The following is a 27208-nucleotide window of genomic DNA, read 5'->3' on the forward strand; positions in this document are numbered from 1 at the left end:
CCTTCTGAGTAGCTGGGATTACAGGCATGCGCCACCACGCCTGGCTAATTTTGTATTTTTAGTAGAGACGGGGTTTCTCCATGTTGGTCAGGCTGGTCCAGAGCTCCCGACCTCAGGTGACCCGCCTGCCTCAGCCTCCGAAATTGCTGGGATTACAGGTGTGAGCCACCACGCCCAGCCTAGTTGATAATTTTTAATAAAATTTTATGAGAAAGCATCAGAGACACTTGAAAATTGCAGTTTCATACTTTGGCTTATACTTTTTTTAATTTTTATTTTTATTTTAAGTTCCTGGGTACATGTGCAGGATATACAGGTTTGTTACATAGGTGAACGTGTGTTTTGGCCGATACTTTAAAAGCCATAGCAAATCACAACACTTTAGAAACTCTTCTACTTTAAACATTTTAAAATCGGCTTTACCTGTTGGTTTAGTTTCCCTTTAAGAGTGTCACTCACCAGCCTGGGTAACATGGCAAAACACCATCTTCAAAAAAATACACACGCACACACCTGTGGTCTCAGCTATTCCAGAGGCTGAGGTAGGAGGATTGCTTGAACCCAAGAGGTTGAGGCTGCAGTAAGCCATGATTGTACCACTGCACTCCAGCCTGGGTGAGAGAGCAAGACCCTGTCTTAAAAATAAATAAATAGAAAGAGTGAGTCATTTATTTCGTCCTTACAGAACTCACCATTAAGTTAGAATAAGTATGTGAAAGCATTTCACTTCAGAACCGTAGTATCTTTTGATCTTAGTGACTGTTAGTTGTTCAAATGAGGGATTATATATGAAGATACTTTAAATGTGAAATAATACATAAATTAATGTTTGTTAGCATTTTATTACTTATGTTTTCTTGTTTTTATGTCATTTTCATTTTCTCAGTACTTAGACATATAATATTTAACATTCAATAGTTTTCATTATTCATATCTTTATAGCCCATTGTATTTAAATTTTCTTTTTAGCATAATAAATGCAATAATATGACCACATCTGGAATCTCAATTTTATTTCGATAATTATTAAGATATAACAAATTATTAGAGATACGTCTATGAAAAATTAAAGAATAAAGTAGTTTTGCCTTGTTATGACATTTCTGTCTTTAGAAATAAAATAGAATTACATCATTGTTAAGGCTAACTACTTCTGGAGTTTAATGACTAGCAAAGAAATCTGACCATGTTTCCTCCTTCGTGTGGCTCTCCTGTCCCTTGGCTTCTCTTCTTGCCTGATTACAGCTGTTTTTGTAATGCTTTCTCTCTTCCTCTCTACATCCCCGATCACTTCCACCACAAGATATTGTAATAGAATGTTCTTAGGCACATTTTAAAAATGGGCTTTTGGTACAAATTCAGAATTCAGTTGTCTTTCAAGATCAGTCTTCTTTATCCATGATATCTTGTCTCCTTTATCTTTGCCAAATGGTGTTTCTCACTTGTATAATCTAAGAGTACTCAATTATGTGATTGATCCGATCATGTTATTACAAGCTCTTAAGCATGGTTTTGTGGTATTTTTCTTTCTAAAATCAAGAAATTTTAGAATTATTATTGCTGGGTAGAATTTCAGAGGAACAATGGAATGGTTTGCAAAAGTTATTCTTAGATGATAATGAGGCTTTGAAGTATTTCGGCAGTTTAAAAGTTAGATTGGTGGGCCAGTCACGGTGGCTCACGCCTGTAATCCCAGCACTTTGGGAGGCTGAGGCAGGTGGATCACGAGGTCAAGAGATCAAGACCATCCTGGCCAACATGGTGCAACCCCGTCTCTACTAAAAATACGAAAAATTAGCTGGGCATGGTGGCACGTGCCTGTAGTCCCAGCTACTTGCAAAGCTGAGGCAGGAGGATTGCTTGAACCTGGGAGGTAGAGGTTACAGTGAGCTGAGATCATGCCACTGCACTTCAGCCTGGCGACAGAGCAAGACTCTATCTCAAAAAAAAAAAAAAAGAAAAGAAAAGAAAAGAAAAAAGTTAGATTGGTGAGGCAGAATGTGATATTTCTCCTTCTACTATTAAAAATTCCATACAGCATTATGTGAATTAATCTTAATCCAACATTTGACAAGGATGTTTTTAAAACAAGTTAATGCTGTGAATTTGGCACTATTGTATCTGATATTAATGAATAATTCCACCGCTTAAAATTGTCTAATTTCCATCTGGTTGCTGTTTCTCATTTTCCTTATTTTACATGTTTAACTTCTAACCACCTATTCTTTTGCTTCTCTTATTTTATACTCAGAATTACCCCCTTTTAGATTAAAAAAAAAACTTTCATACTTTTGAAATGTAAAAATGGACATATCACCATAAAGTGAGAAGGGAACCCTAAATGAATTACAAACTTTTTGTTTTGTTAGAGATAGAAAAACTTCTAAGATCTTAAAAGTAAGATCTGAGTTTAAAATTAGGGAATAAAATAAGTTGTGTTAAGAAGGACAGGGTCACCAGTTAGGAGGAGATTATTGTAGGAATCCCAGTGTTGGCACTTGGGACTAGTGATGACAGAGGAGATGGAGAGAAAAAGGACAGATTCAGGATATATTTGGACGTGAAAGTTGTGAAGACTTGATAATGAGTGGAATGTGGAGGGAAGGAAAGAGGCTATGAAGAAGAAACTGGTTACGTACTGTTACTATTTCCTGATGGTGACGATGATTGGAGGAGGAACTGTTTTATTTCCGTTGGGGAAGTATGAAGTCAGGAGTTCTATTTTGGGTATTTAGAATTTGAGGTATCTAAGTGAATATGCCCAGTAGGCAACTGAATAATTGCCTATGGAGGTGAGGGAGGGTGAAGGTACAGTCATTAGTGTACATTAAGGACGTTTAAAATCATGAACCTTGTTGAGGATCATTAGGTTGAAGGTAGAGTGGAAAAGAGCATTCATAATTAGTTCTGTGGCTTCCAGCAATCAGAGTTGGTGTGGAGGAGAAGTCTGAGGAGCAGAGTCCAGTGTGGCAGTTGTATACAATACATAGACATTGTTTTCATAGAAGTTGTATATGCTTAAGGTATATTGCTCTTTGTGGGTTGTTTTTAAAATTAAATATTTGGTGTATCCTTTGTAAGATTCTAAACCCCCTTCTGAATGTCATTGAGTAAGACAATTCTATACAACGCCAGGATGTTTGCTGTAAAGAATGGCTTTACCATTGAACCATTAAGGTTGGGATATGGTGCCCATTTTAACCCTTCCTGGTCTGCCTCTTTACGACTTAGATTTTTAGATGTCACCTAAGTTTCTTGCTGGGGGAGAAGGACTTTGCCAGAAAATTAGCCTTAACATGATGTCCTTTGACCCTCCTCACAATTTTTTGTCATTCTCTTGAAATAAGTTAGTTCATTATTAAAGAAGTCATTTTATTTTATTTTTTATTTGAGTCGGAGTCTCACTCTGTTGCCCAGGCTGGAGTGCAGTGGTGCAATCTCAGCTCACTGCAACATGTTTCTCCTAGGTTCAAGCTATGGTCCTGCCTCAGCCTCCTGAGTAGCTGGGACTACAGGTGCACACCACCATGCCTGGCAATTTTTTTTTTTTTTTTTTTTTTTAGTAGAGATGGGGAGATGGGGTTTCACCACGTTTGCCAGACTGGTTTCAAACTCCTGGTCTCAAATGATCCACCCACCTCAGCCTCCCAAAGTTCTGGGATTACAGGGGTGAGCCACTGTGCCCGGCCTAAAGTAATTTTATTTTTAAAAGCTGTCATCAACATGAAAAATTTGGGATTCATGAGGAGTGTTTTTGAGTGTTGGATGCCACTGATATCAGTGACAATATGGGGCAGCAGATAAAAGCCTGGTTTATAAATTCTGCAAGGACGGAACTCTTTAAGACAATGAAATGGGGACTGGCTTAGACATAGCTGCGTGCCTTTACTCCATTAGAGACAAGCACAAGAGTCCTGCCATACCACATATTTTTTGACATGACTACTTTTTGTTTTTCTTCAAAATCTAAACTACGATAAAATGAAAGACAACAGTTATTAGGTGCCTTTATCTTATGCAGAGTGCTAAGTACTGTACATTGTGGTCCCCTTGTGACCCAACATGAATTCTGAAAGGGAAATAAATATATTGAACCTACTTTGTAGAGGTCACAAAATTGAAGCTATGATTATTGGTATTTTAGAGAGAAAAAAATAAGAAAAGATAATCAAAAAATATATACAAACTACGATTTCAGATTCAGGTTTTTTTGGAGATTAAAATTTCTCTAGGCGTGCTTGAAAGGTGATGGACATGAAGTCATGTTTTGGAGACATCATGCTGTGTTTTTAACGGTCCATTTAAAAATGTATTTTATCTCTAAGTGTTAAGTGTTCCCATGCTGTACTGATAATAATCTTAATTTTTCCCTTCTCTCTTTTGGTTTCAGAGGAAGAACTTGTCGCTTTTCCTAAGCATTAGTTTGTTAATTTTCTGGGGTTCCTCCCTTTTGGGTGCCCGGTTATACTGGATGGGAAACAAACCACCAAGCTTTTCCAACTCGGACAACCCCGCTGCTGATTCGGACAGCCTCCTCACCCGCACTCTCACCTTCTTCTACTTGCCAACCAAGAACCTCTGGCTGTTGCTATGTCCAGATACCCTCAGTTTTGATTGGTCAATGGATGCTGTGCCTCTGCTCAAAACAGTTTGTGACTGGAGAAACCTACACACTGTGGCCTTCTATACTGGACTCCTTCTCCTTGCCTACTATGGTTTGAAGAGCCCGAGCGTAGACAGAGAATGCAATGGGAAAACTGTAACAAATGGCAAGCAGAATGCAAATGGACATAGCTGCCTTTCAGATGTGGAGTACCAGAACTCAGAGACTAAGTCCAGCTTTGCATCCAAAGTAGAAAATGGCATTAAAAACGATGTATCACAGAGAACCCAGCTTCCTTCTACGGAGAACATTGTTGTTCTGTCTTTATCTTTGTTAATCATACCCTTTGTTCCTGCCACGAACCTGTTTTTCTATGTCGGCTTTGTAATTGCAGAGCGAGTATTATATATTCCTAGTATGGGCTTCTGCCTACTGATTACAGTGGGTGCTAGAGCCCTTTATGTCAAAGTCCAAAAGCGGTTCCTCAAGAGCTTGATTTTTTATGCTACAGCTACACTAATTGTTTTTTATGGACTCAAGACTGCGATCAGGAATGGAGACTGGCAGAATGAGGAAATGCTTTATAGATCAGGGATAAAAGTAAACCCAGCTAAAGGTAATCTTTTATTTTATGCTTTTGTCTGGATAGTTTACACTTTCAGCCTCTTTATATCTTTGCTTCTTGTCTTAAAACACAGTATTAAGGAGGAAGAGGTCCTTTTATGCAGTACCTGTATCTTTCATTCTTTTTATTTTTTTAAAGAGATATGCCATATAACCAATTTAGAGACATATCCAATATTCCTTACTTGGAATAAGAAAATATTTTTCTGTGTTTCTGACTATGTTTGTCCAGAAGAATTAGAGCTCCTGTTGTGTAAACAATATTGACTATTCCAAGAATTTAGAAAAGAGCTTGGTTTTCACATTTTAAAATACTGATAGGTACAGCTCTTTTATCATATAATAAAAGTTAGGCTATCCCACTGAAGTATACTTCAGCTCTTCTATTTTCCAAGCATCGCCTGAGGAAATACAAGACTTTCATTGAAACCTTTAAAAGATTTGGAGATTTCACTGCCTCTGAATCCTGAAAGTATGTCTCTAGATGTCAGTGTGTACACATTCAGGTATGAGTCACCTTTGGCTGCGCAGAGGCTGAATTATCTGAGTGTTGCCAAGCAGTTAGCAAGTTTTTACTTGAGTTCTTAAGTCACTTAGAAAAACACACTTCTCACTACATAATGAGAGTTTTGATTATACCATTCATGATTGCTTTAGATTTAGAAAATTACTTGAGCAAATCTCAGAATCGATAGAGTAGAAAGTAGTTTCCTTTAAAATAAAAAAGTCAAAAGCTATGACAATGGATGACTCTAGTTTAGGCAATTAAATGTATTGGAAGCTAGAGGACAATTACATAAAAATAGATGTAAATTTTTAGTGCAGAAATATATCATAGTAAATAGTACTAAAGAGTCTTGTTCTTCATAAGCCATTTTTATTCTTTTTTGAGACCGGGTCTTGCTCTGTCGCCCAGGCCGGAGTGCAATGGCATGATCTCGACTTACTGCAACCTCCACCTCCTGGGTTCAAGCGATTCTCCTCCTCCAGACTCCAGAGGCACTGAGATTACAGGCGCCCACCACCACACCTGGCTAATTTTTGTATTTTTAGTAGAGATGGGGTTTCACCACGTTAGCCAGGCCGGTCTCAACTCCTGACCTTAGGTGATCTGCCTGCCTTGGCCTCCTAAAGTGCTAGGATTACAGGTGTGAGCCACCACACCTGGCCTATTTTTATTCTTTAAATTATGTTTGCTGATATAGCATTTGAACTGGCATTTTTCTACTCTTTCCAACACAATTCTATATCAGGATTAAAAGAAGGTGTAAAACTGTTCCAGAATATGAAAATGGCCTGCTAATAGGTGTATATATATATATATAAAGACCTAGATACTCCAAAAGCTACTTTGGCATGCTTGTCTGATGAGCACAAATTAAGTCAAGAATTCAGTGAGCAACTACACATTTCTTTAAGGAACTAATTGCTTGTACTTAACACTGTTTAATAAATTGCAGGGATTTTAATGGGAAGTTGAAGCATTAAAGTTGAGCTACTGCATAGCATGTAATTTCTCAATTCTCTGTGAAAAATCATTACCATGTGACTTTTCCTAGGTGGCGAGTACTTCACAGTTTATTGAATGCCTGGACCCAAATCTTGTAAAAATCATTACAATTAGTTTTTGCAGAATAATTATCAGCTAGTTTTTCTGCACTGGTAGATGTAAGGTTATAGAATAAGGCTATGTTGCCAATTTATTTTCCTGCTGTTTAAAACATATAGGGAATTGAAAAAATTCTTGGCATATTATTTGCATCACAGTGTTGTTCTGAGGGTTTATTAAATTTATTAAGTTTCAGGCTAAGCTGCTGTTACAAAAAGCCAAGACAAAAGTGGCTTAAGTAAGATAGAAGCTTTATTCTTTCATGTGACAATCTAAGTATGTGCAAACACAGAGCTGATAAGATGGCGCCATGGGTTCTCAGAATCCAAGCTATTTCTCTTTTATTCCCTTGCCATCTCAGTGGTGTCACCCTGTCCTTATGGTCCAAGATGGCTCATTATCACATTAGCACTTCAGCTGACAGGAAGAGAGGGAGAAAGGGCAAATGGTGGGTGTACCCGATCTTAGAGCATATTGCAGAAATTGCACACACCATGCTTGTTCACAGACCACTGGGCACACCTACCTAAAAGGAAGGCTGGGAAATGTTATCTTCATTCTGGGAAGCCAAGTACCCAGCCAAATTTTATTACACTGCAAAAAGGAGAGGGCAAATACTCAGATGCTAGGGTATAAGTAGCAGTCAGTCAGAATAAGTGAAAACGTTTTGTAACGCTTAGGTATTTTCCAGCATTAGCTGGTATTTTTGCTGAAAGTTACGATTCTAAATAAGATATTTTGGTACACAGTTAGAATGTTTGATCATTTCTTTATTTTTCCATTCACTAAGTAAAACAATTATTAAACATTTCCTTGGTTTCCAACATTTTCAGGTGTCCATCCTAATACTTAGGAAGTGCTGCAGAATTTAGGCACTCCAAAATATTATTAGCTAAATAAATGTACAGCTGACCACTACCATGATAAGTTCTTTCAGACATCAAACACTGAATTCCTGAAACACCCCACCCCACTCATGGCCCAGTCAACTGCCTTACTTGCAGGCTTTACCATCTCAGTTGATGGAATCTCCATTTCCCCAGCAGCTCTGGCCGAGAATTCTGAAGTCATCCCTGCCTCCTCTTTTCCCTTCACAGTTGACCTCCTCTTTTCCCTTCATAGCTGACATCCATTCCATCAGCAGATCCTCTCTGCTCTGTTTGTAAAAATACATCCAGAGCTTGGCCACTTTTTACCACCATCACTGTTGGCATCATGGCCTGGGTGACCACCATCTTTTATCTGGAATATATATATAGGAATATATATATGTGTGGAATATATATATATAAGAATATATATATATGTGGAATATATATATATAAGAATATATATATGTGGAATATATATATATAAGAATATATATATGTGGAATATATATATATAAGAATATATATATAAGAATATATATGTGGAATATATATATATAAGAAAATATATATATGTGGAATATATATATAAGAATATATATATGTGGAATATATATATATAAGAATATATATGTGGAATATATATATAAGAATACATATATAGGAATATATATATATCCGGAATATAGATATAGGAATATATATACATATCCGGAATATAGATATGTAGGAATATATATACATATCCGGAATATAGATATGTAGGAATGTATATACATATCCGGAATATAGATATGTAGGAATGTATATACATATCCGGAATATAGATATGTAGGAATGTATATACATATCCGGAATATAGATCTGTAGGAATGTATATACATATCCGGAATATAGATCTGTAGGAATGTATATACATATCCGGAATATAGATATGTAGGAATGTATATACATATCCGGAATATAGATCTGTAGGAATGTATATACATATCCGGAATATAGATCTGTAGGAATGTATATACATATCCGGAATATAGATCTGTAGGAATGTATATACATATCCGGAATATAGATCTGTAGGAATGTATATACATATCCGGAATATAGATATGTAGGAATGTATATACATATCCGGAATATAGATATGTAGGAATGTATATACATATCCGGAATATAGATATGTAGGAATGTATATACATATCCGGAATATAGATATGTAGGAATGTATATACATATCCGGAATATAGATATGTAGGAATGTATATACATATCCGGAATATAGATATGTAGGAATGTATATACATATCCGGAATATAGATATGTAGGAATGTATATACATATCCGGAATATAGATATGTAGGAATGTATATACATATCCGGAATATAGATATGTAGGAATGTATATACATATCCGGAATATAGATATGTAGGAATGTATATACATATCCGGAATATAGATATGTAGGAATATATATAGGAATATATATAGAGAGGAATATATATAGGAATATATATCTCTGGAATATATATATAGGAATATATATCTCTGGAATATATATATAGGAATATATATCTCTGGAATATATATATATAGGAATATATATCTCTGGAATATATATATAGGAATATATATAGAGAGGTATATATATAGGAATATATATACCTGGAATATATATATATAGGAATATATATACCTGGAATATATATATATAGGAATATATATACCTGGAATATATATATATAGGAATATATATACCTGGAATATATATATAGGAATATATATATATCTGGAATATATATATAGGAATATATATATATCTGGAATATATATATAGGAATATATATATATCTGGAATATATATATAGGAATATATATATATCTGGAATATATATATAGGAATATATATATATCTGGAATATATATATAGGAATATATATATATCTGGAATATATATATAGGAATATATATATATCTGGAATATATATATAGGAATATATATATATCTGGAATATATATATAGGAATATATATATATCTGGAATATATATATAGGAATATATATATATCTGGAATATATATATAGGAATATATATACCTGGAATATATATATAGGAATATATATATATCTGGAATATATATATAGAGAGAGTAATATATATATATATATATTTTTTTTTCTTTTTTTTTTTTGAGACAGATTCTCGCTCTGTTGCCCAGGCTGGCATGCAGTGGTGCGATCTTGGCTCACCACGACCTCCGACTTCTGGGTTCAAGCAATTCACCGGCCACAGCCTCCCAAGTAGCTAGGACTACAGGCATGCACCACCAAGCCCAGCTAATTTTTGTATTTTTAGTAGAGACGGGTTTCACTATCTTGGCCAGGTTGGTCTCAAACTCCTGACCTCGTGATCCACCCGCCTCGGCCTCCCAAAGTGCTGGGATTACAGGCCTTATCTGTAATATTAGTAAAAGACTCTCACCTCACCTCCCAGCTTGTATTTCTTGCCTTTTAGCATGTCTTGTACTTTTTTCTTTCGACTCAGACATGATGTATTGGGTAATAAGAAATGAGGTGAACAGGCTTTATTGTGAGATTTTATGTAAATCTGGTTAGGAGTTGGACTGTATTTTGCTATAGCCGTGGGTGCCAGAGATGCCACATTCCTCTGGTGGCCTTGTTTTTGGTCTTCCCAGTTGTCTGTGGGCTTTCCCACAGACTCAGTTTGCTTTGCATCTATTTCAGCTGTAATCAACTATTATTATACTGCAGCTCTGTTGGTATGGGGGAGGAAAAATGTTCTATTATTTTATGACTAAATCTTCGCCTCTCTGGGCTACTACCTTCACCAAGTGTTTCTTCTCTTTCCTTATGTCCCACTCCAGTTAAGACAGAAAGGCTAGAGGGGGCTGAGTTGAGAGGAATGGTTTTCCCCCACGGCTCTGGGACAAGGCTGAGATCTTTCCCTTACGGAGTTAGTGGTCTTTTGTCATGACAGATGCTCTGGGTATATTTCATAAGGTTTATTCCTCTCCTACTGCCAGAGCCAGGAGAACATCTTTCTTGGCTCTTCCCGATGACACTCTGTTGGGGTCCCGGGAAGGAAAACCCCCAAAAGTTTGGGAGTCCCCTAAGACTGCCACCCTCAGGAGTTTCTGATTCTAAAACTAGTTTATGCTTAGCCTCCAGCAGCTTGTCAAAATGAGTAGTCAATTGTTTCTAACAGTTTCTGTCTCCAGCAGCTTCTGCTCCAGGTAAGCTCTCCTGTGCTGTGTCTCTGGATTTGTCTTTCTCTAGATTTCAGGGTGGTGGTTGGCCCTGTGACCCCAGTTCACTGATGGTTCCAAGACAAGTTATTGATTTTCAGTCTGTTTAGCTTTTTCTTTTTGTAATGATGTGAGTGACAACTTCACATTCTTTAATGTCTCAGCTGAACTCCTGCTTCTATTCACCTTCAAAGTCTATGCTTAACCAGCAGCCATGGTGACCTTTTGGAAACACAAGTCAGGGCATGGTGTTCCACTGTCCCCAATTATTCTCTGGCTGCCAGTTTCTCTCTAATTGAAGGCACATAACAGTGGCGGGGAGGGAGGGAGAGAGTCAAGGGTTCAAAAACTATTTATTGAGTACTATGCTCGCTTCTTGGGTGATAGGTTCAGTTGTGCTCCAGGACTCAGCCTCATGTAATATGCCTTTGTAACAAACCTGCACATATAGCCTTGGAATCTAAAATAAAAGCTGAAAAAATAAAAATAAATAAAATTAGAACAGTTCTGTACTTTAAAAACTCTAGCTAGCTAGATAGATTATAGATATGATAGATATAGATGCACACAGTCTCAGGACCCTGTGTATACTCACCAGCCTTTCCTTCCCTTACTCCACACCAGCCCTGCTGGCCTCTTTGATGTGCCTTTTATATGCTAGGTAAGCTCCTGCCGCAGAGCTTTTACCTTCGTCATTGCTTCTTCCTGCAATGTGTTCTCCTGGTTATTCTCACTGGGGTCTCCCTTACCTCCTTTAAGTCTCTGACCAATTGTTGCATTATCAGTAAGGTGCTTTATGTAAAATTGACTGCCCTGCTATAAATTACAGCCACCCCTCCACCTCTGTCTTACTGAGCATTCCCTATCCTCTTTCCATGCTTCATTTTTATCTTAGCACTTATCACTATTTGACATACTATATTTTCTATAATTATGTGTTCATTGTATGAACGTGTTGTCAGCATACACTAGAATGTACAACACAAGAAGGTAGAGTTTTTTTGTTTTTGTTTTGTTTTTGTTTTGTTTTTTTGAGACAGAGTCTCGCTCTGTCGCCCAGGCTGGAGTGCAGTGGCGCGATCTCGCCTCACTGCAAGCGCCGCCTCCCAGGTTCACGCCATTCTCCTGCCTCAGCCTCCCGAGTAGCTGGGACTACAGGCGCCCGCCACCACGCCCAGCTAATTTTTTTTGTATTTTTAGTAGAGACGGGGTTTCACCGTGTTGGACAGGATGGTCTCGATCTCCTGACCTCGTGATTCACCCTCCTCGGCCTCCCAAAGTGCCGGGATTACAGGCGTGAGCCACCGCGCCCCGCCGATATTTTTACATTTTAAAAAATGGCATAGATGCTGCAACGAGGACTGTGCCTGGTAAAGCAAAGGCATTCAGTAATGGATATGTTCAGTATTATTACAGTCATAGTCCTTCTCTTTAAGGAGTTCATGATCTGTTTACAGATATAATGTACATGCATGAAATAAGGCAAAAGTGTGAAATATTATGCCTTTGATATGCCAGGTAGTGAGGGATGCTTTATCATGAGAGGGTTAGAATCGGGAGTAGAGTTAGTTTCGGATTGTGTGACTGCATCTGTGTGTGACATATGCTTCCATTTTGATACAAGGCAAAACTCTTCCAATCCAGGTTTCTTATATTTTTTTCTGTTTATAAGATGTTAATAATAATTCTGGCTGTAGTTACTTCCTTAGCAATTATGAGACTGTCAGTAATCTTCCTTAAGGCAGATTTTCTTAGTCTAATACATTATTTGAACCTAAGTAAAACATTAGAAACCCTATAAAGCCAGTCTTATGTATGTATGGTTTTCTGAGATTACAGATGGAGTTAGGATTTTTTTTCTTCCTTTGAAAGCCTTTGCAAATTCTGGAATACTTCAGTCTACCATGTGCTTTAATGGAATATGATTTTAAGCCTCATGAAACAGTATGCATTAAAACTGCTGCCTTCAGTAATGGGTCCTGTAGACAGCTGCCAGTCATTAACTGATTGGATGCAAATGACGATGAGTAAACCCTGTCATAGTGACTGTGCTGCTAATTTATGGTTTAAATCTGGATAGTGGAGAAATGATAGCTGATTTGGACTATGTAAACCACAAGTCCTGTCTCATTATGTGGTTTATAATATCAGGAAAATACTAGACATAGTTGATTACTGTAGTTTGCTGATTTCACAATGACTCTTTGCATTTCTGTGCTTAGGAAAAAGCAAATTTTCTCTGATGACGCCTTAATGAGCAAGCCACATTATATCTGAAAGTGTTTCCCCCGTTCGCCTTTAAAGCAACTCATTTTTAAAGCCATATTGATTCGTATTTGCTTAAAGAAAGAATTTCTTGATTCATTACAAAGCAGTTAAATGTGTGATCACCCTTTTTGCTGTGGCCTCCTCTAAATCCCCATGTGGCTCTAGTCTCTGTAGAATTTGGCACCATTGATCTCTGTTACCATAGCTTTTAAGCCACTGCTTGGTTTTGACTATCTTTCTCCAATTTCCGACAGCTTTCTCTCTTCTATGATTTTTGCTTCCTCCCTAAACTAATCCATTCTTCAAGTTTTTTGTTTCTTTTTTTTTTTTTTTTCCTAAAACCTGCCTTTATTTTCCCTTCCCTACAGTATCTAGAACATTTCTTGGTATATAGTAGGGGTCAATAAATATACAATTGAATTTCTAAGTTATGTTCTTTGTGACCGCCTATCTATGAGGAACTTTTCCACCTGGGTGATCTGCCGGGATCTCAAACTGGTCACCTCTCTTCCCTGAAATCAACTTCTTGCAAACTTCCTTATTAATTAACATCATAATCCCAGGCCAACAAAGTTATAGATAAGCAGATCAGTGAGCACATAAACATAAAATAATTGTAGTATATATGGCAGCACATCTGGCTTGCTAAAGGCATTTTAAAATTAGGTTATAGATTCAAAATCAAATAGGTTCTGAGAATGGTTTGTTAACTCTATGTCAATTTGATTTAAAAAAATATGACTATGGTGGTTAATTGTTTGAAAGCAATTTCTTAAATAGTTAAGAACAATTAAGAGTGAATCTGAGGAAAACTTAAGTGCTAAAGGTTGTTTTTAATGCCCATTTTTAATGTAAATATGTGAAATGATAAATACAAAAGATATATGTAAAATTTCATACATATTTGGAACTTTCAAGGTGATTATCCTAGCAGTCTGCATTCACTCCCCCAGTGCAAATGACAAACATTACCTTTTTAGATATAGAAAAACACAGTTGGCCAGGCGCCATGGCTCACGCCTGTAATCCCAGCACTTTGGGAGGCCGAGGCGGGCGGATCACCTGAGGTCAGGAGTTCAAGACCATTCTGGTCAACATGGTGAAAGCCTGTCTCTACTAAAAATACAAAAATTAGCCGGGCATGGTGGCGGGCGCCTGTATTCCCAGCTACTCGGGAGGCTGAGGCAGGAGAATCGCTTGAACCCAGGAGGCAGAGGTTGCAGTGAGCCGAGATCGCGTCATTGCACCCCAGCCTGGGCAACAAGAGCGAAACTCTGTCTCAAAAAAAAAAAAAAAGAGAAAGGAAAAAGAGAGAGTCAAAATTGTTTCAATTTTGCAGCGTCTGACAATTTTTTTCCTTCATAGATTCCTGCAAAATTGGTGGTTCTATTTCAATTTAACATGGCATCAAATTTTAAGAAACAAGTATGTTGTAGGAATATCATTTAGGAAATAACTCACAATTTAAGTGAAACTCAAGCCTCTAAGCCATGTAAAAATTGACTATTTCCTTGTGGATTTTATAGTCTAAGCTTTTGTTTACCTCGAATTGAGTGTCTTTAACTATGATGAGTTGTAATTAACCAGCTAGCTTTGAAATGGTGTAACAAATTCTATTATTATATTTCACCAATAATTTGTCATGATATGTCCAAGGGAAGATAAAAATTTTTCAACAGAAGTTCAGATTTTTATAAAACATGAAATTTACCATTTAAGGCCAGACACGGTGGCTCAAGTCTGTAATCCCAGCACTTTGGGAGGCCAAGGCAGGCAGATCACATGAGGTCAGGAGTTTGAGACCAGCCTGGCCCACATGGTGAAACCCCATCTCTACTAAAAATACAAAAATTAGCCGGGTTTGGTGGCGGGCGCCTCAAACCCGCCTGAGGCAGGCGCCTCCTGCCTCAGCTACTCGGGAGGCTGAGGCAGGAGTATTGCTTGAACCCAGGAGGCGGAGGCTGCAGTGAGCCGAGATCGTGCCATTGCACTCCAGCCTGGGGGACAAGAGCAAGACTTTGTCTCAAAAAACAAACAAACAAACAAAACAAGAAAAAAGAAATTTACTAGTTAAATCAAGGAGGAAAACCACTATAGTATTTTGTTGAAACTGACTGGCCTGAGTTGTGCTGTAAAACACAGCTTTTCATTTTTACCAGAGAGCCTTGGTAAGAGAAACTAGCTAAAAGCATCCCACCAATAAAGGCTGATTGAGAGACAAATAGCAGGAAGTTAAATCTGGTTTCCATAAGGAAATTATGTGTTTTGTCTTCTCAGTCCATATCTTCTCTATTGAGTAGAAAAAAATAGATAAACAACAGGGCTGGCAAGAATAAAAGGAAGGTATCTCATTGGCTGAACTAGACTGAAATATTTTTTAAAAGCAGATTTACATTTACTAAATTGTTAAATTAAGGCCCATTTTAAATATTTGATTCTTGAAGAAATCAAGTATGGTTGTTTTCCATTTGGGATGGGGGAGTTGCAGAAGTTCAGACGCCTTTAAGAATGAATTGGGGCCGGGCGTGGTGGCTCATGCCTATAATACCAGCACTTTGGGAGGCCAAGTCGGGTGAATCATGAGGTCAGGAGTTCGAGACCAGCCTGGCTAGCATGGTGAAACCCTGTATCTACTAAAAATACAAAAAATTAGCTGGGCGTGGTGGTGCGCGCCTATAGTCCCAACTACTCAGGAGGCTCAGGCAGGATAATTGCCTGAGCCGGGCAGGTGGAGGTTGCAGTTAGTTGAGATTGTGCCACTGCACTCCAGCCTGGGTGACAGAGTGAGACTCCTTCTCAACTCCATCTCAAAAAAAAAAAAAGAATGAATTGACACAGAAATGTTTTCCTGTTGTCTGACTCTAATGATTTCAAGTACAGTTTTGTGGGGCAGGAAAAAAAATCCAGACCACAACAGACTCAGTGCAAGTGGTCCTGTGATGTATTATAGATGAAGTGGGTGCCATATTGCTGACTCTTAAAATTACCCACAACAAAACTTTTAGAATCTTTATGGGCTTTTGAAACCTTCAAACCTTAAAATTAGAGTTACTTTAGATTATATTTATCACGGTTTATATGCTAAAATACTTGAGACTAGCATATGATTAAGCATGAAGGTAAATTTTTCTGATTTCCATATTTTTGTGTTTCTTAAAAATGTCCTAGGCCAGGCGCGGTGGCTCATGCCTGTAATCCCAGCACTCTAGGAGGCCGAGGTGGGCAGATCATGAGGTCAGGAGTTCGAGACCAGCCTGGCCAATATGGTGAAATCCCATCTGTACTAAAAATACAAAAATTAGCTGGGCATGGTGGCAGGCACCTGTAGTCCCAGCTACTCAGGAGCCTGAGGCAGAAGAATTGCTTGCACCCAGGGGGCGGAGGTTGCAGTGAGCCGAGACTGTACCGAGGGCAACAGAGCGAGATTCCCTCTCAAAACAAAACAAAACAGAACAAAAACAAAAGCCCTAACATTTCTTTACTTTTATTAAATATATATGAAATATATCATTCATAGTCATATAAGTATGCATATACATCATATTTGTATAGTTTAAGGAATACTACTGAAATATCTATTCTGTAGCTTATTAAAGGAATATTACCAGTGTCTTTGAGGACCTTTCCCTATACTTCTCCTTATTTCTTGTTTAAAAAATGGTTTTTGATTTTTTCACCATTGATTTTATGTACTTACAGTTTTTTCTGTAGGTAACTTTTATCAGTAGAGTTTTCCTCATTTCTAGTTTAAGAACTATTTTATGAATTAATATTGATGATGATAGGTTTTCCTCACTTAGTCTCTTTGATGAATTATATTAATAGATTTTCTAATGTTGAACCTGTTTTGCATTCCTAGATTAAGCCCAGGAATTGATTATAATGTATTATCATTCCCATTTTCTTCTACATTTGTTTTTCATCTGTATTTCTGAGTGATTGTCAGTTTCTCTCTTGTGGTGTCATATTCTGGTTTTAAAATCAATGATCTTAACCTTATAGAATCAGGTTAGGAGCATTACTTCTTTTTCATTCCCTCAAAGATTTTATGTAAAATTAGAATTATTTTTTTCTTCTATATTAGGTAGAATTTACCTGCAAAACTAGCTAGGCATAATGTTTTGGTTATAGATGACTCTTTTTTTTTCCTGTTGATTTAATTTCTTTCATAGTTTTGGAAAGAGCCAAATTTGCTTTTGGGTCAGTTTTAGTAACTTTTTTCTCTGTGTTTTGTTCAATTGGTACAATGTTACACATAATATTCTTGTAATATCTTTCTAAAAATCTCTGCTACAATTGTAGTTTTAAAAGTGTTTTTGCTTGGATACTCTTCAGGCAACAGATGTAGTATTGCCCCAAACTTTGTGAAGGTGGACCTACGCATAAGAATTCCCAAGGAATATTTTTGCCTATTTTCTGTTTGTCCAAATAGGCCAAACAGTCACCCATCTTTTCATTCTCTAAGTTTTTTAAATTTTTTTGTTGCTAGTTAAGTGATGAAGTCTGTTTCCTTTCAGGCAGATCACAGTTTATGTGGCTTCTGCAGTGTGACCTCCTGCATGAAGTTCATTAAAGCCTAAACCTAGGTTTATCTGTTTGACAGATCTAGTGTATGCAAGGTGAATACCATCTTCACAGCTAGTTTACTTTTCTGGAGTCCTGCATTCATGAAGGTTTTTGTTTGTTTGTTTTTGAGATGGAGTCTCACTCTGTCGCCCAGGCTGGGGTATAGTGGTGCGATCTCGGATCACTGCAACCTCCACCTCCCAGGTTCAAGTGATTCTCCTCCTTCAGCCTCCCAAGTAGCTGGGATTACAGGCACGTGCCACCACACCCTGCCAATTTTTTTGTATTTTTAGTAGAGATGGGGTTTCACCATGTTAGCCAGGACAGTCTCATTCTCCTGACCTTGTGATCCACCCGCCTCAGCCTCCCAAAGTGCTGGGATTACAGGCATGAGCCACCGTGCCTGGCCTCATGAAGTTTTTAGACTTCAGGTTTGCCCTTACTTTCCAACCAATTAATACATTCATTTGCAAATATTTTTATTTTTAATGTAGCATTTTTATTGGTTCTGTACAAGGTGTGATTCTCTGAACATAGAGTTTCACTATACTGTCAGAAAATGAGACCTATGAAATATCTTCAAATCTGACACCTATTAAGGAATGATTAGCTATGTTAGAAGTTCTATTTGAGAATAGAGTTAAGATCAGAGCTACTATTTTTGAAATATTTAATTCTCTTTCAGCAAAAGAAAACTTAAAAGAAGCTAAAAATATGTGTAAAAACACTATCAAATTACAGGTATTTGAACCCTCTAAAGCAGGGTAAAATATGTTCCTTCCTTTCTGTAATATAGATACAATTGCTGATATTGTTAAAGAGCAGATTTTCGAGAGGACAAACACCTGTCTTAGTTTTAGCCTTATCACGCACTGGTGCCTATTTCTGGTGATCATGGATTTTGAAGAGAATTCCAGATAAGTCTCAAGAAGTTATGGAAAAAATTGAGATATTCAAGTCATATAATTATTGTAAAAGGATTTGATGTAGAGGAAGTGTGAGCCGTATTTTAATTTTTATGCATGTGGGCATTAAATTAGAAATCTTACTGAAATGGGAAAATTTCCCCTGTCCCCCTCACAGCGCGTGTGAAGAGGGTGTGGCTCACTTCTTCTGATCAAACCTCTAGGGGAACATACGGACAGGCAGGCTCCAACCCCAGGCTCCAACCCCACGGCAGTGCCTAGGGGGTGAATGTTTACAGCTACTGAAGCCCCAGTGGGCATGTTACAGTATGCTCCTTTAGTTTAGCCCTCTATAGGCGGCTTGTGTTAGCTCAATTAGACCCCCTTCCTTATCACAAGGACAGAGGGATTTCTGTATCCCAGGGTTTCTTACCTTGGTGTATCAGAAGAATCGGATTACATGTGGGCTTGGAGAATGAGTGGAAGGTTTGATTAAGAAGTAGCTCTTAGCAGACGGAGGGCCAGAAGGGAGATGGATTTCCCATGGAGTCCGGCTGCTCCCCAGCCTGGGCTCTCCTCTGATTGCTCCGGCCAAACTCTGCCTCATTTGGCTGGTGGATGTCCTTCTGGTATGCCCCTGTCTGTGTCCAGCCTCTTGTCATTTTCTGCAGATGTGTTCCTCTTGCCATCCAGCAGCAGCTTCTGTGTGTCTGCCTGCTAGGGTCTCTGGGTTGTTTTTTTCTTTTTTTTTTTTTTAGAGACAGAGGCAGAGTCTCGCTCTGTCGCCCAGGCTGGAGTGCAGTGGTGTGATCTTGGCTCACTGCAACCTCCACCACCCGGTTTCACGCCATTCTCCTGCCTCAGCCTCCCGAGTAGCTGGGACTACAGGCGTCCGCCACCATGCCCGGCTAATTTTTTGTATTTTTAGTAGAGACAGAGTTTCACCGTGTTAGCCAGGATGGTCTCTATCTCCTGACCTTGTGAGCCACCCACCTCAGCCTCCCAAAGTGTTGGGATTGCAGGTGTGAGCCACTGCGCCCGGCGGGTCTCGGGTTTTTACAGCCCCAGGGTTTGGGTGTGGGGGGGCCAGGGTGGTCTTGGAAAATGCAACATTTGGGCAGGAAGGCAGGAGTGCCTGTCCTCCCCTAGGTCTGTTGGGTGGAGCCCTAGCAAGGAACCATGCCCTCCTCTACCCAGCCCTTCCCCCACCCCCGCCCACCTCCAGCCTCTGTGTCATTTAAAGGGACCACTCTCTTCCCTTCCCAGCACTCTGTTATCATCATCACTTGACCATGGCTTCTCAGTGTAAATTTCTTTGCAGTTTTAACATTATCATCCAAGGGGATCTAGGAGGGACATAAATATCATGTGCTTGCTCAAAATGAAATAATGATCAAACATATTAGACGTTCTTTTTTAAAGAATGATAATATTGTTTTCTAAGTATAAGCCGTATTCTTATTTATTTTTTTCTTTTCTTTTTTTGAGATGGCGTCTTGCTCTGTTGCCCAGGCTGGAGTACAGTGGCACGATCTTGGCTCACTGCAACCTCTGCCTCCCGGTGCAAGTGATTCGTGTGCCTCAGCCTCCCCAGTAGCTGGAATTACAGGTGTGCGCCTGTAATTAACCATGCCTGGCTAAGTTTTGTATTTTTAGTAGAGATGGGGTTTTGCCATGTTTGCTAGGCTGGTCTCAAACTCCTGTCCTCAAGTGATCTGACCGCATAGGCCTCCCAAAGTGCTGGGACTACAGGTGTGAACCACCTCGTCCAGCCCATACTCGGATTTGGTTAGACAGTACCTAGAAGGAAATTTAGAACAACAAAAACATCATCTTGAGAGCAGAACTGTATTGGAGGTTTTATTTTGTCTTGTATTTAAGGATTCTAATTCCCAATAATACCAGCTGCCTCTCAGCCCATTCTTTCAGTGATCTTAAACAGCATAATTCAGTTCCTTTTTGCAAAACACATAAGATATTAAAATATCAGCATTAATATCTTTTTTGGAAGCACTTTAAACATATGTTTTAATTATGAAAAATTTCTCTGTAGACATTTTAAGTGTAGAAAGAAGGAACTGGGTTAGAAATGTAATATATCAGCTCAGAGTCAAGTTTTGACAAGAACAGATTACCCAGGTGTCAAAGCATGGCGTTTTCTTCTTAAGATGCCTGGAATAGCAGAGGAAACTTACAGTCGTTTAATATTTGGGGCTCTGTGTAGGAACTTGGAAGTCATATCATAAAGAAATGTGATTTTTTTTCTGCTCTTCTTACCTCTCCTTGCTTAGGATAAGAGAGTAAATATCTCAACTTGTATTTCATGAGACTACCAGCAAAGACCACAAGGTCTAAGATATTTTGAAATGTTTTCCTTTTTCACCAAGTCAGTTGACTTAATCTCTTTGAGATTTGCAAACAAGTTTTGATGGTTTGCAGTACTGGTGTTGAGTAATCTGAATATTTTCCAAAGATGATGGCATCATGTTACCTTCACAATTGTGGTTAAGAATGAATGGTGGTTGGGTGCAGTGGTTCTCGCCTATAATTCTAGCACTTTAGGAGGCAGAGATGGGTGGATCACTTGAGCCCAGGAGTTTGAGACCTGCCTGGGCAACATGGTGAAACCCTGTCTCCACAAAAAATTCAAAAAATAGCTGAGTGTGGTGGTGCATACCTGTAGTTGCAGCTACTTGGGGGGCTGAGGTGGGAGGATCACCTGATCCTGGGGAGGTCGAAGCTGCAGTACGCTATGGTCACGCCACTGCACTCCAGCCTGGGTGACAGAGTTGAGACCTTGTCTGAAAAAAAAAAAAAAAAGAATGGGTGGTAATATTCATATTCATGTAAATATTTACAATAATTTTAAGTTAGAAAGGAGTTTCTGTGCTTGCATAATGAAAACATTAGTATATTACGATTACTGTACAAACCCATGTATTCTGCATTTTTCTTATCTCTAATCACAGTGATAAATTTAAAATTACTTTTTGTTCTTGAAATGCTATTATTTGGAAGCAACAGTACAGAATTTTAAAATTTCTTTTGCCATTACACTTTAGCACAATGATTTTGAGATAGTTTTTGAGGGCAGTTGATGAAGTCACTAAAGTCCTAATGCCATGCTTCTGTTCTCTGTGGTACCATTCCAGAAGCAAGAGGCTGTGCACTGCTTTGGGCAGAGGACCATCATACTTTGGTTTTGGCTTTTGCTGGTTCTCAGCTCATTCTCACATTGAGCCTGGAGCAGACATTTACTTTTGAGGTTTTAAGTTAAAAATTAGGGTTTAAAGAAGTATATCCTAAGACCCAGTTCTGATTATTTGAAAGGAAAATGTGGCTTCTCTATGAGTTTTAATCATCCTGACATGTCAATAATCTGACAAGATTATTTAAAACTCATGAATAGAATATATGGCTTTATATCTAAGACCACACATCTAGTCATATTTTTTAATTGGTAATATTCATTAATCACTGGTTTTGACATATTTCCTGATTTTTCCTCTATCTTACTTAACCCTCTGGGTACTAGCTTCTTTTTAATACATGGAAGTATAACTTTCTGAATTGTAGTTTCAAGACTTTTATATGTATAACAGCATTCTCTATTTCAATATCATGTTTTTCAGTTCATACAAAAATGGCTCATACTCAAGTACCGTTGTCCCTTGATATATGTGGAGGATTGGTTCCAAGACCACACACTTAAAAACAAATCCCTGCATACTCAATTCCCACAGTTGGCCCTGCAGAACCAGAATATAGGAAAAGTCAGTACTCTTTATACGTGGGTTTCAAATCCCACAAATACTGTATTTTCAGTCTGTGTTTGGTTGAAAAAAAAAATCCACATATAAGTAGAACCAGGCAGTTCAAACCTATGTTGTTCAAGGGTGACATGTATTTGCACAGTCTTCAGAATTCTTGTCTGCTTGTCCTGTACCAGCAAAGAAGGCAAAGAAAATTAACTTCCCATTCTTTTCTGTTGTTAAATCAACTGAAAGTACAGAAGAAATGCTTTAAAATGATACGTGCCCAAGATTTTTGCATATAGCAAAGATAATTGATATTTTATTTTAGAGATCTCAGTTATTTACAAATAATTGTCCTCATTAGCACATGTAAATATTTTTCTACTCACATAAATATTTTATTTGCATTTTTTACTCATCATTTCTTTTTTTTAAAAAAATTCTCTTTTCTCTAGTATTTACTTTTGCCCTGTTCAACACTAGCTACTGGATTGATCACAGTGAATGCCAAAAATTAACATATAGAAGTTAACACATGGAATATTCTCCCTGATGTACTATATTTGAGAGGTACTATATTTATAACTTATAAGCAGATTTTTAAAATAAGATGCAATCTTTAGGATTTTCATTATTTTTTAAATCTTAAAATTGACCTTTAGAGTATTCAATATTGCCTTTAGTTATGTTTTTGTTGCCCTGGATTTGGTTGGCAATGCGATTCTCAGTAGCATGAGCATAGATAATGAATAGGGCAGATTTACTATAAAAGTGTATATCGAATTGGTTATGCTTTTAGTATATAATAATCCATTAATGAAATATACCATCTCCATAATAATGTGCTTTCCAAGGAGTTACACATCTATGTTAATTTAATATGTGACTCAGAGTTTAGTTTAGGCAAGCATCATTACAACTCACTTATTTTTTTTTTTTTTTTTTTTTTTTTGAGACGGAGTTTCGCTCTTGTTGCCCAGGCTGGAGTGCAATAGTGCGATCTTGGCTCACTGCAACCTCTGCCTCCCAGGTTCAAGTGATTCTCCTTCCTCAGCCTCCTGAGTAGGTGGGATTACAGGCATGCACCACCACGCCCGGCTAATTTTGTATTTTTAGTATAGATGGTGTTTCTCCATGTTGGTCAGGCTGGTCTCGAACTCCTGACCTCAGGTGGTCTGCCCACCTCAGCCTCCCAAAGTGCTGGGATTACAGGCATGAGCCACTGTGCTCGGCCTTACAATTCTTTTACAGATGAGAAACTAAGAGAGGCAGGATGCTTAAGGAGCATGGTTAAAGATTCCAAACTTTGCAGTAAGGTAGATGTGGGTATTGATTATAACTCATTTATAGTGGTTATTGTTCCTCCTTATTAGTGTTATCATCTATAGAGTGAGTATAGCAATACCATCTTGTGGTTATGCATAGCATACCTAGCCCAGGGTTTGTCCCACATTACATATTTACTAAATTATTGCTTTTACTATGAAATAGGAAGTAGAAGAGTTAAGTAATTTACTTGGTTGTACCCAAATCTAACTGGTAACAGGGCTAGTACTACAACGTAGATTTCGGACATTTTGTTTTATGTTTCTGTATCAAAGTTCCTTTAGTGACTTATAGTAGGAAACTAACCTCGGGCCTCGGGCCATTAGGTGGCAGGAACATACCTGATGGCTGGATCCACTGTGAGATAAAACAGATGTGGTTTGGGCGATAAAATTAAAAAGGGAATTTAAGGGAGAAAATGGATTCTTTTTGTTCCCCCTGAAGTTGTTTGGAAATCGTAATTCTGTACAAGTCGTCTAAGAACTCTTGGTCTTTCTAAGGGTTCTTCATCTTTTATACCTGAACCAAACTCAAATGATCCCAATTGTGTTAGAAGCAAGCTGTAAGGGCTGCTTGGAGACAATTCTATTCCTGATACAAACTCAGAGGCAACTTGTACTCTTTGGGATTTACCATAAATCAAAAGGAACTGGTATTTTAATGGAAGACAAAATCTATCATTGTTAATAATCAAGACTGCGTACAGCAACTCAACGTCTGTCATCCCTGCTCTTTGGGAGGCCAAGGCAGGAGGATTGTTTGAGGCCAGAAGTTCCAGACCAGCTTGATCAACATAGAAAGACCCAGTATTTATGGAGAAAAAATTTAAAACAGAAAAATAATAATTAAAAAAGGTACTGGTTGGATGACTGCATGGGCTATGCGATCAGCCATATATGAGGAATTTCTAAAAAGCCTTTACTGAATTGGTATAGTTGTTACATAAACAGGACCACTATTTATGACATTCTAGTATATATATTCCCCAAGTGTTCCATTAACTACTTTTGACAGTGTGATAGGCAAAATAGGTTTGTTGCCTGTGATTTGAGGAGAGCCTCAAGGCTTGTTGCTCCCAAATTCTCTCCCTTTGGCCAGTCATTATATTTGAAAATGCAGTTATATTAATTGTCTTTACTATAATACCATGTGCTAGTTTGTCAGAAACTGTGTAGAGCACATTGTTATTAGGGACATAGGGCAAAATTGAGAAGCCATGGGAAAAATTTTGCATAGAGAAGAAATGGATGGAAGACAAGTGCATGCAAACCCCAAAATAAAAATCGAACACTATGAGTGGTACTGGCAGCAGACCTGAGCCATGGATGTGAGGATGGCTCATAGTCAAATTCAGGAATATGGTAGAGATTGCAGATGGTAAAATGCCAAGGAACAACCGTAGATACACTAAAACAAAACGAACATGGGTGCTGGATTATACATGTGGATATTACAGTATGCACATAGATGTTATAGTGACAAATAATGCTGTCTAGACTAACAGTGTTAATATATTATTGAAGTACTAAATTTTATGTTTACATTAAAATTTTTTTCTTATTGGGAATACGTTTAGTTTCAGATCTATCTGAAATAACTACAGATAGGGGAAAGAGAAATAATTGTATCTTGTAGAATTCCTGTAATTAGAATTACATATAAGTACATAGGATATGTGTTGTGATAACATATGAATCATGATCTTTAAATCATAGCCACTTCTTCTACTTAATATTTTAACTATATCTGTTTTATTTACCTACTTACTATTATGTTCTTTTCTGTAATAATCCGAGGTATAATTTCTTCAGAAAAAATAAATTCCTGTAGGCTTACAAAGGCTCTTATTTCCCTGGAGTCACATGAAGTGACTATCATACAATTAGTAAAATGCTCAGTCTACAAGTGTTGACCCCGCCCCATAGTCTTTGCTAATAGATGGAGTGGGAAGACAGTCTACTTTAAAAAACAGCAACAACACATTCATGCTCGTTTTCAGTTCCATGCAGTTAAATGGCTCTTTTTCTCCTCCCTTTGTTTTCTTTTTTTCCTTTTTTTCTCTCTCCATTGACATTAGAAAGTTTAACATAATTAACATTTATATTTTAAAATAATATTTATTTAAATTGTAGCTGGTAAGACCATTCATGGGGCACATCCAAAGTCCAAGACTTCCATTATGGTTAAAGGCAAGGACTTTGGAACCAGACAGACACATCTTTTTGTTCTCTTATCTTTTTGAGTGTCACTTCTGTAAGGCATGGTTTCTTCTTCTATTAATAGTACAAACTGGATGATAATGTAAGCTCATTTGTTATGAGGATTAGGAGAGATCACATATGCATACACAAGTCTAGCTTAAAATTGGCTTTTATTTTATTTATTTATTTATTTATTTATTTAGAGACAGAGTCTCACTCTGTCACCCAGGCTGGAGTGCAGTGGTACCATTTCGTCTCACTGCAAGCTCCGCCTCCAGGGTTCATGCCATTCTCCTGCCTCAGCCTCCCCAGTAGCTGGGACTACAGGCCCCTGCCACCAGGCCCGGCTAATTTTTTTGTATTTTTAGTAGAGACAGGGTTTCACCGTGTTAGCCAGGATGGTCTTGATCTCCTGACCTCGTGATCCACCCGCCTTGGCCTCCCAAGTGCTGGGATTACAGGCGTGAGCCACTGCTCCCGGCCAGCTTTTATTTTTTTGAGACAGGGTCTCACTCTGTCACCCAGGCTAGAGTGCAGTGGTGCCATCACAAATCACTGTAGCCTTAACCTCCCAGGCTGAAGGCATTCTCCCACCTCAGCCTTGACCTCCTAGGCTCTAGCGATTCCCTCACCCCAGCCTACAGCATGCATCACCATGTCTGGCTAAGTTTTGTATTTATTGGGGTTTTACCCTGTTGCCCAGGCTGGTCTTGAACTCCTGGACTCAAGCAATCCGCCCAGCTTGGCCTCCCAAAGTACTAGATTATAGGTATGAGCCACTGCGCCTGGCCAAAATTGGCTTTTAATCTGAATAAAAACAATTCTTAGTAGATATATTAAGCACTACTATATTAAGTGCAAATAAGTTATTTTCTTTTGCAGACGGTTTGTGATAGATGACTGGCAAGATTGCAATTTTTACCTCCTCATGGAAGTAACACTTTGATTTCAAACAAGTAACTCAGCGTTGGTGGAAGCAAAATTTAGGATTTATCCCCTTTTTAATGCAGTTAAGTACTTCAATTTTGGCAGATTCTTACATAGAACTCAAGATTTTCATATAGGGACAAAGACATATGTTAAATTTGTAAGGTTTAAAATGAATTATAGCTGAAGCACGAAACAAGAATGAGAGTCCTTACCACATTTAGTGACTGTGCAGTGTATTAGTAAAATGAAAATGCTGAGATGATAACCCAAAGAGGAGTGATTACTTAT

At 38.0% G+C, this 27208-nt stretch overlaps 1 protein-coding gene across 6 annotated transcripts in view; it reads left to right on the forward strand.

Moving 5' to 3' along the window:
• TMTC2 (transmembrane O-mannosyltransferase targeting cadherins 2) overlaps nt 1-27208 on the forward strand; it is a 447961-nt gene that overhangs the window by 204522 nt on the left and 216231 nt on the right. For all 6 annotated transcript variants that reach the window (XM_017018884.3, NM_152588.3, NM_001320321.2 and 3 more), the window contains one exon: nt 4391-5219. In XM_017018884.3, coding sequence (XP_016874373.1) covers nt 4391-5219 — 829 coding nt within the window. The remainder of the gene's footprint in view (nt 1-4390; nt 5220-27208) is intronic.

This window comes from Homo sapiens, chromosome 12 (genome assembly GCF_000001405.40).
Source record: "Homo sapiens chromosome 12, GRCh38.p14 Primary Assembly".
NCBI lineage: Eukaryota > Metazoa > Chordata > Mammalia > Primates > Hominidae > Homo > Homo sapiens.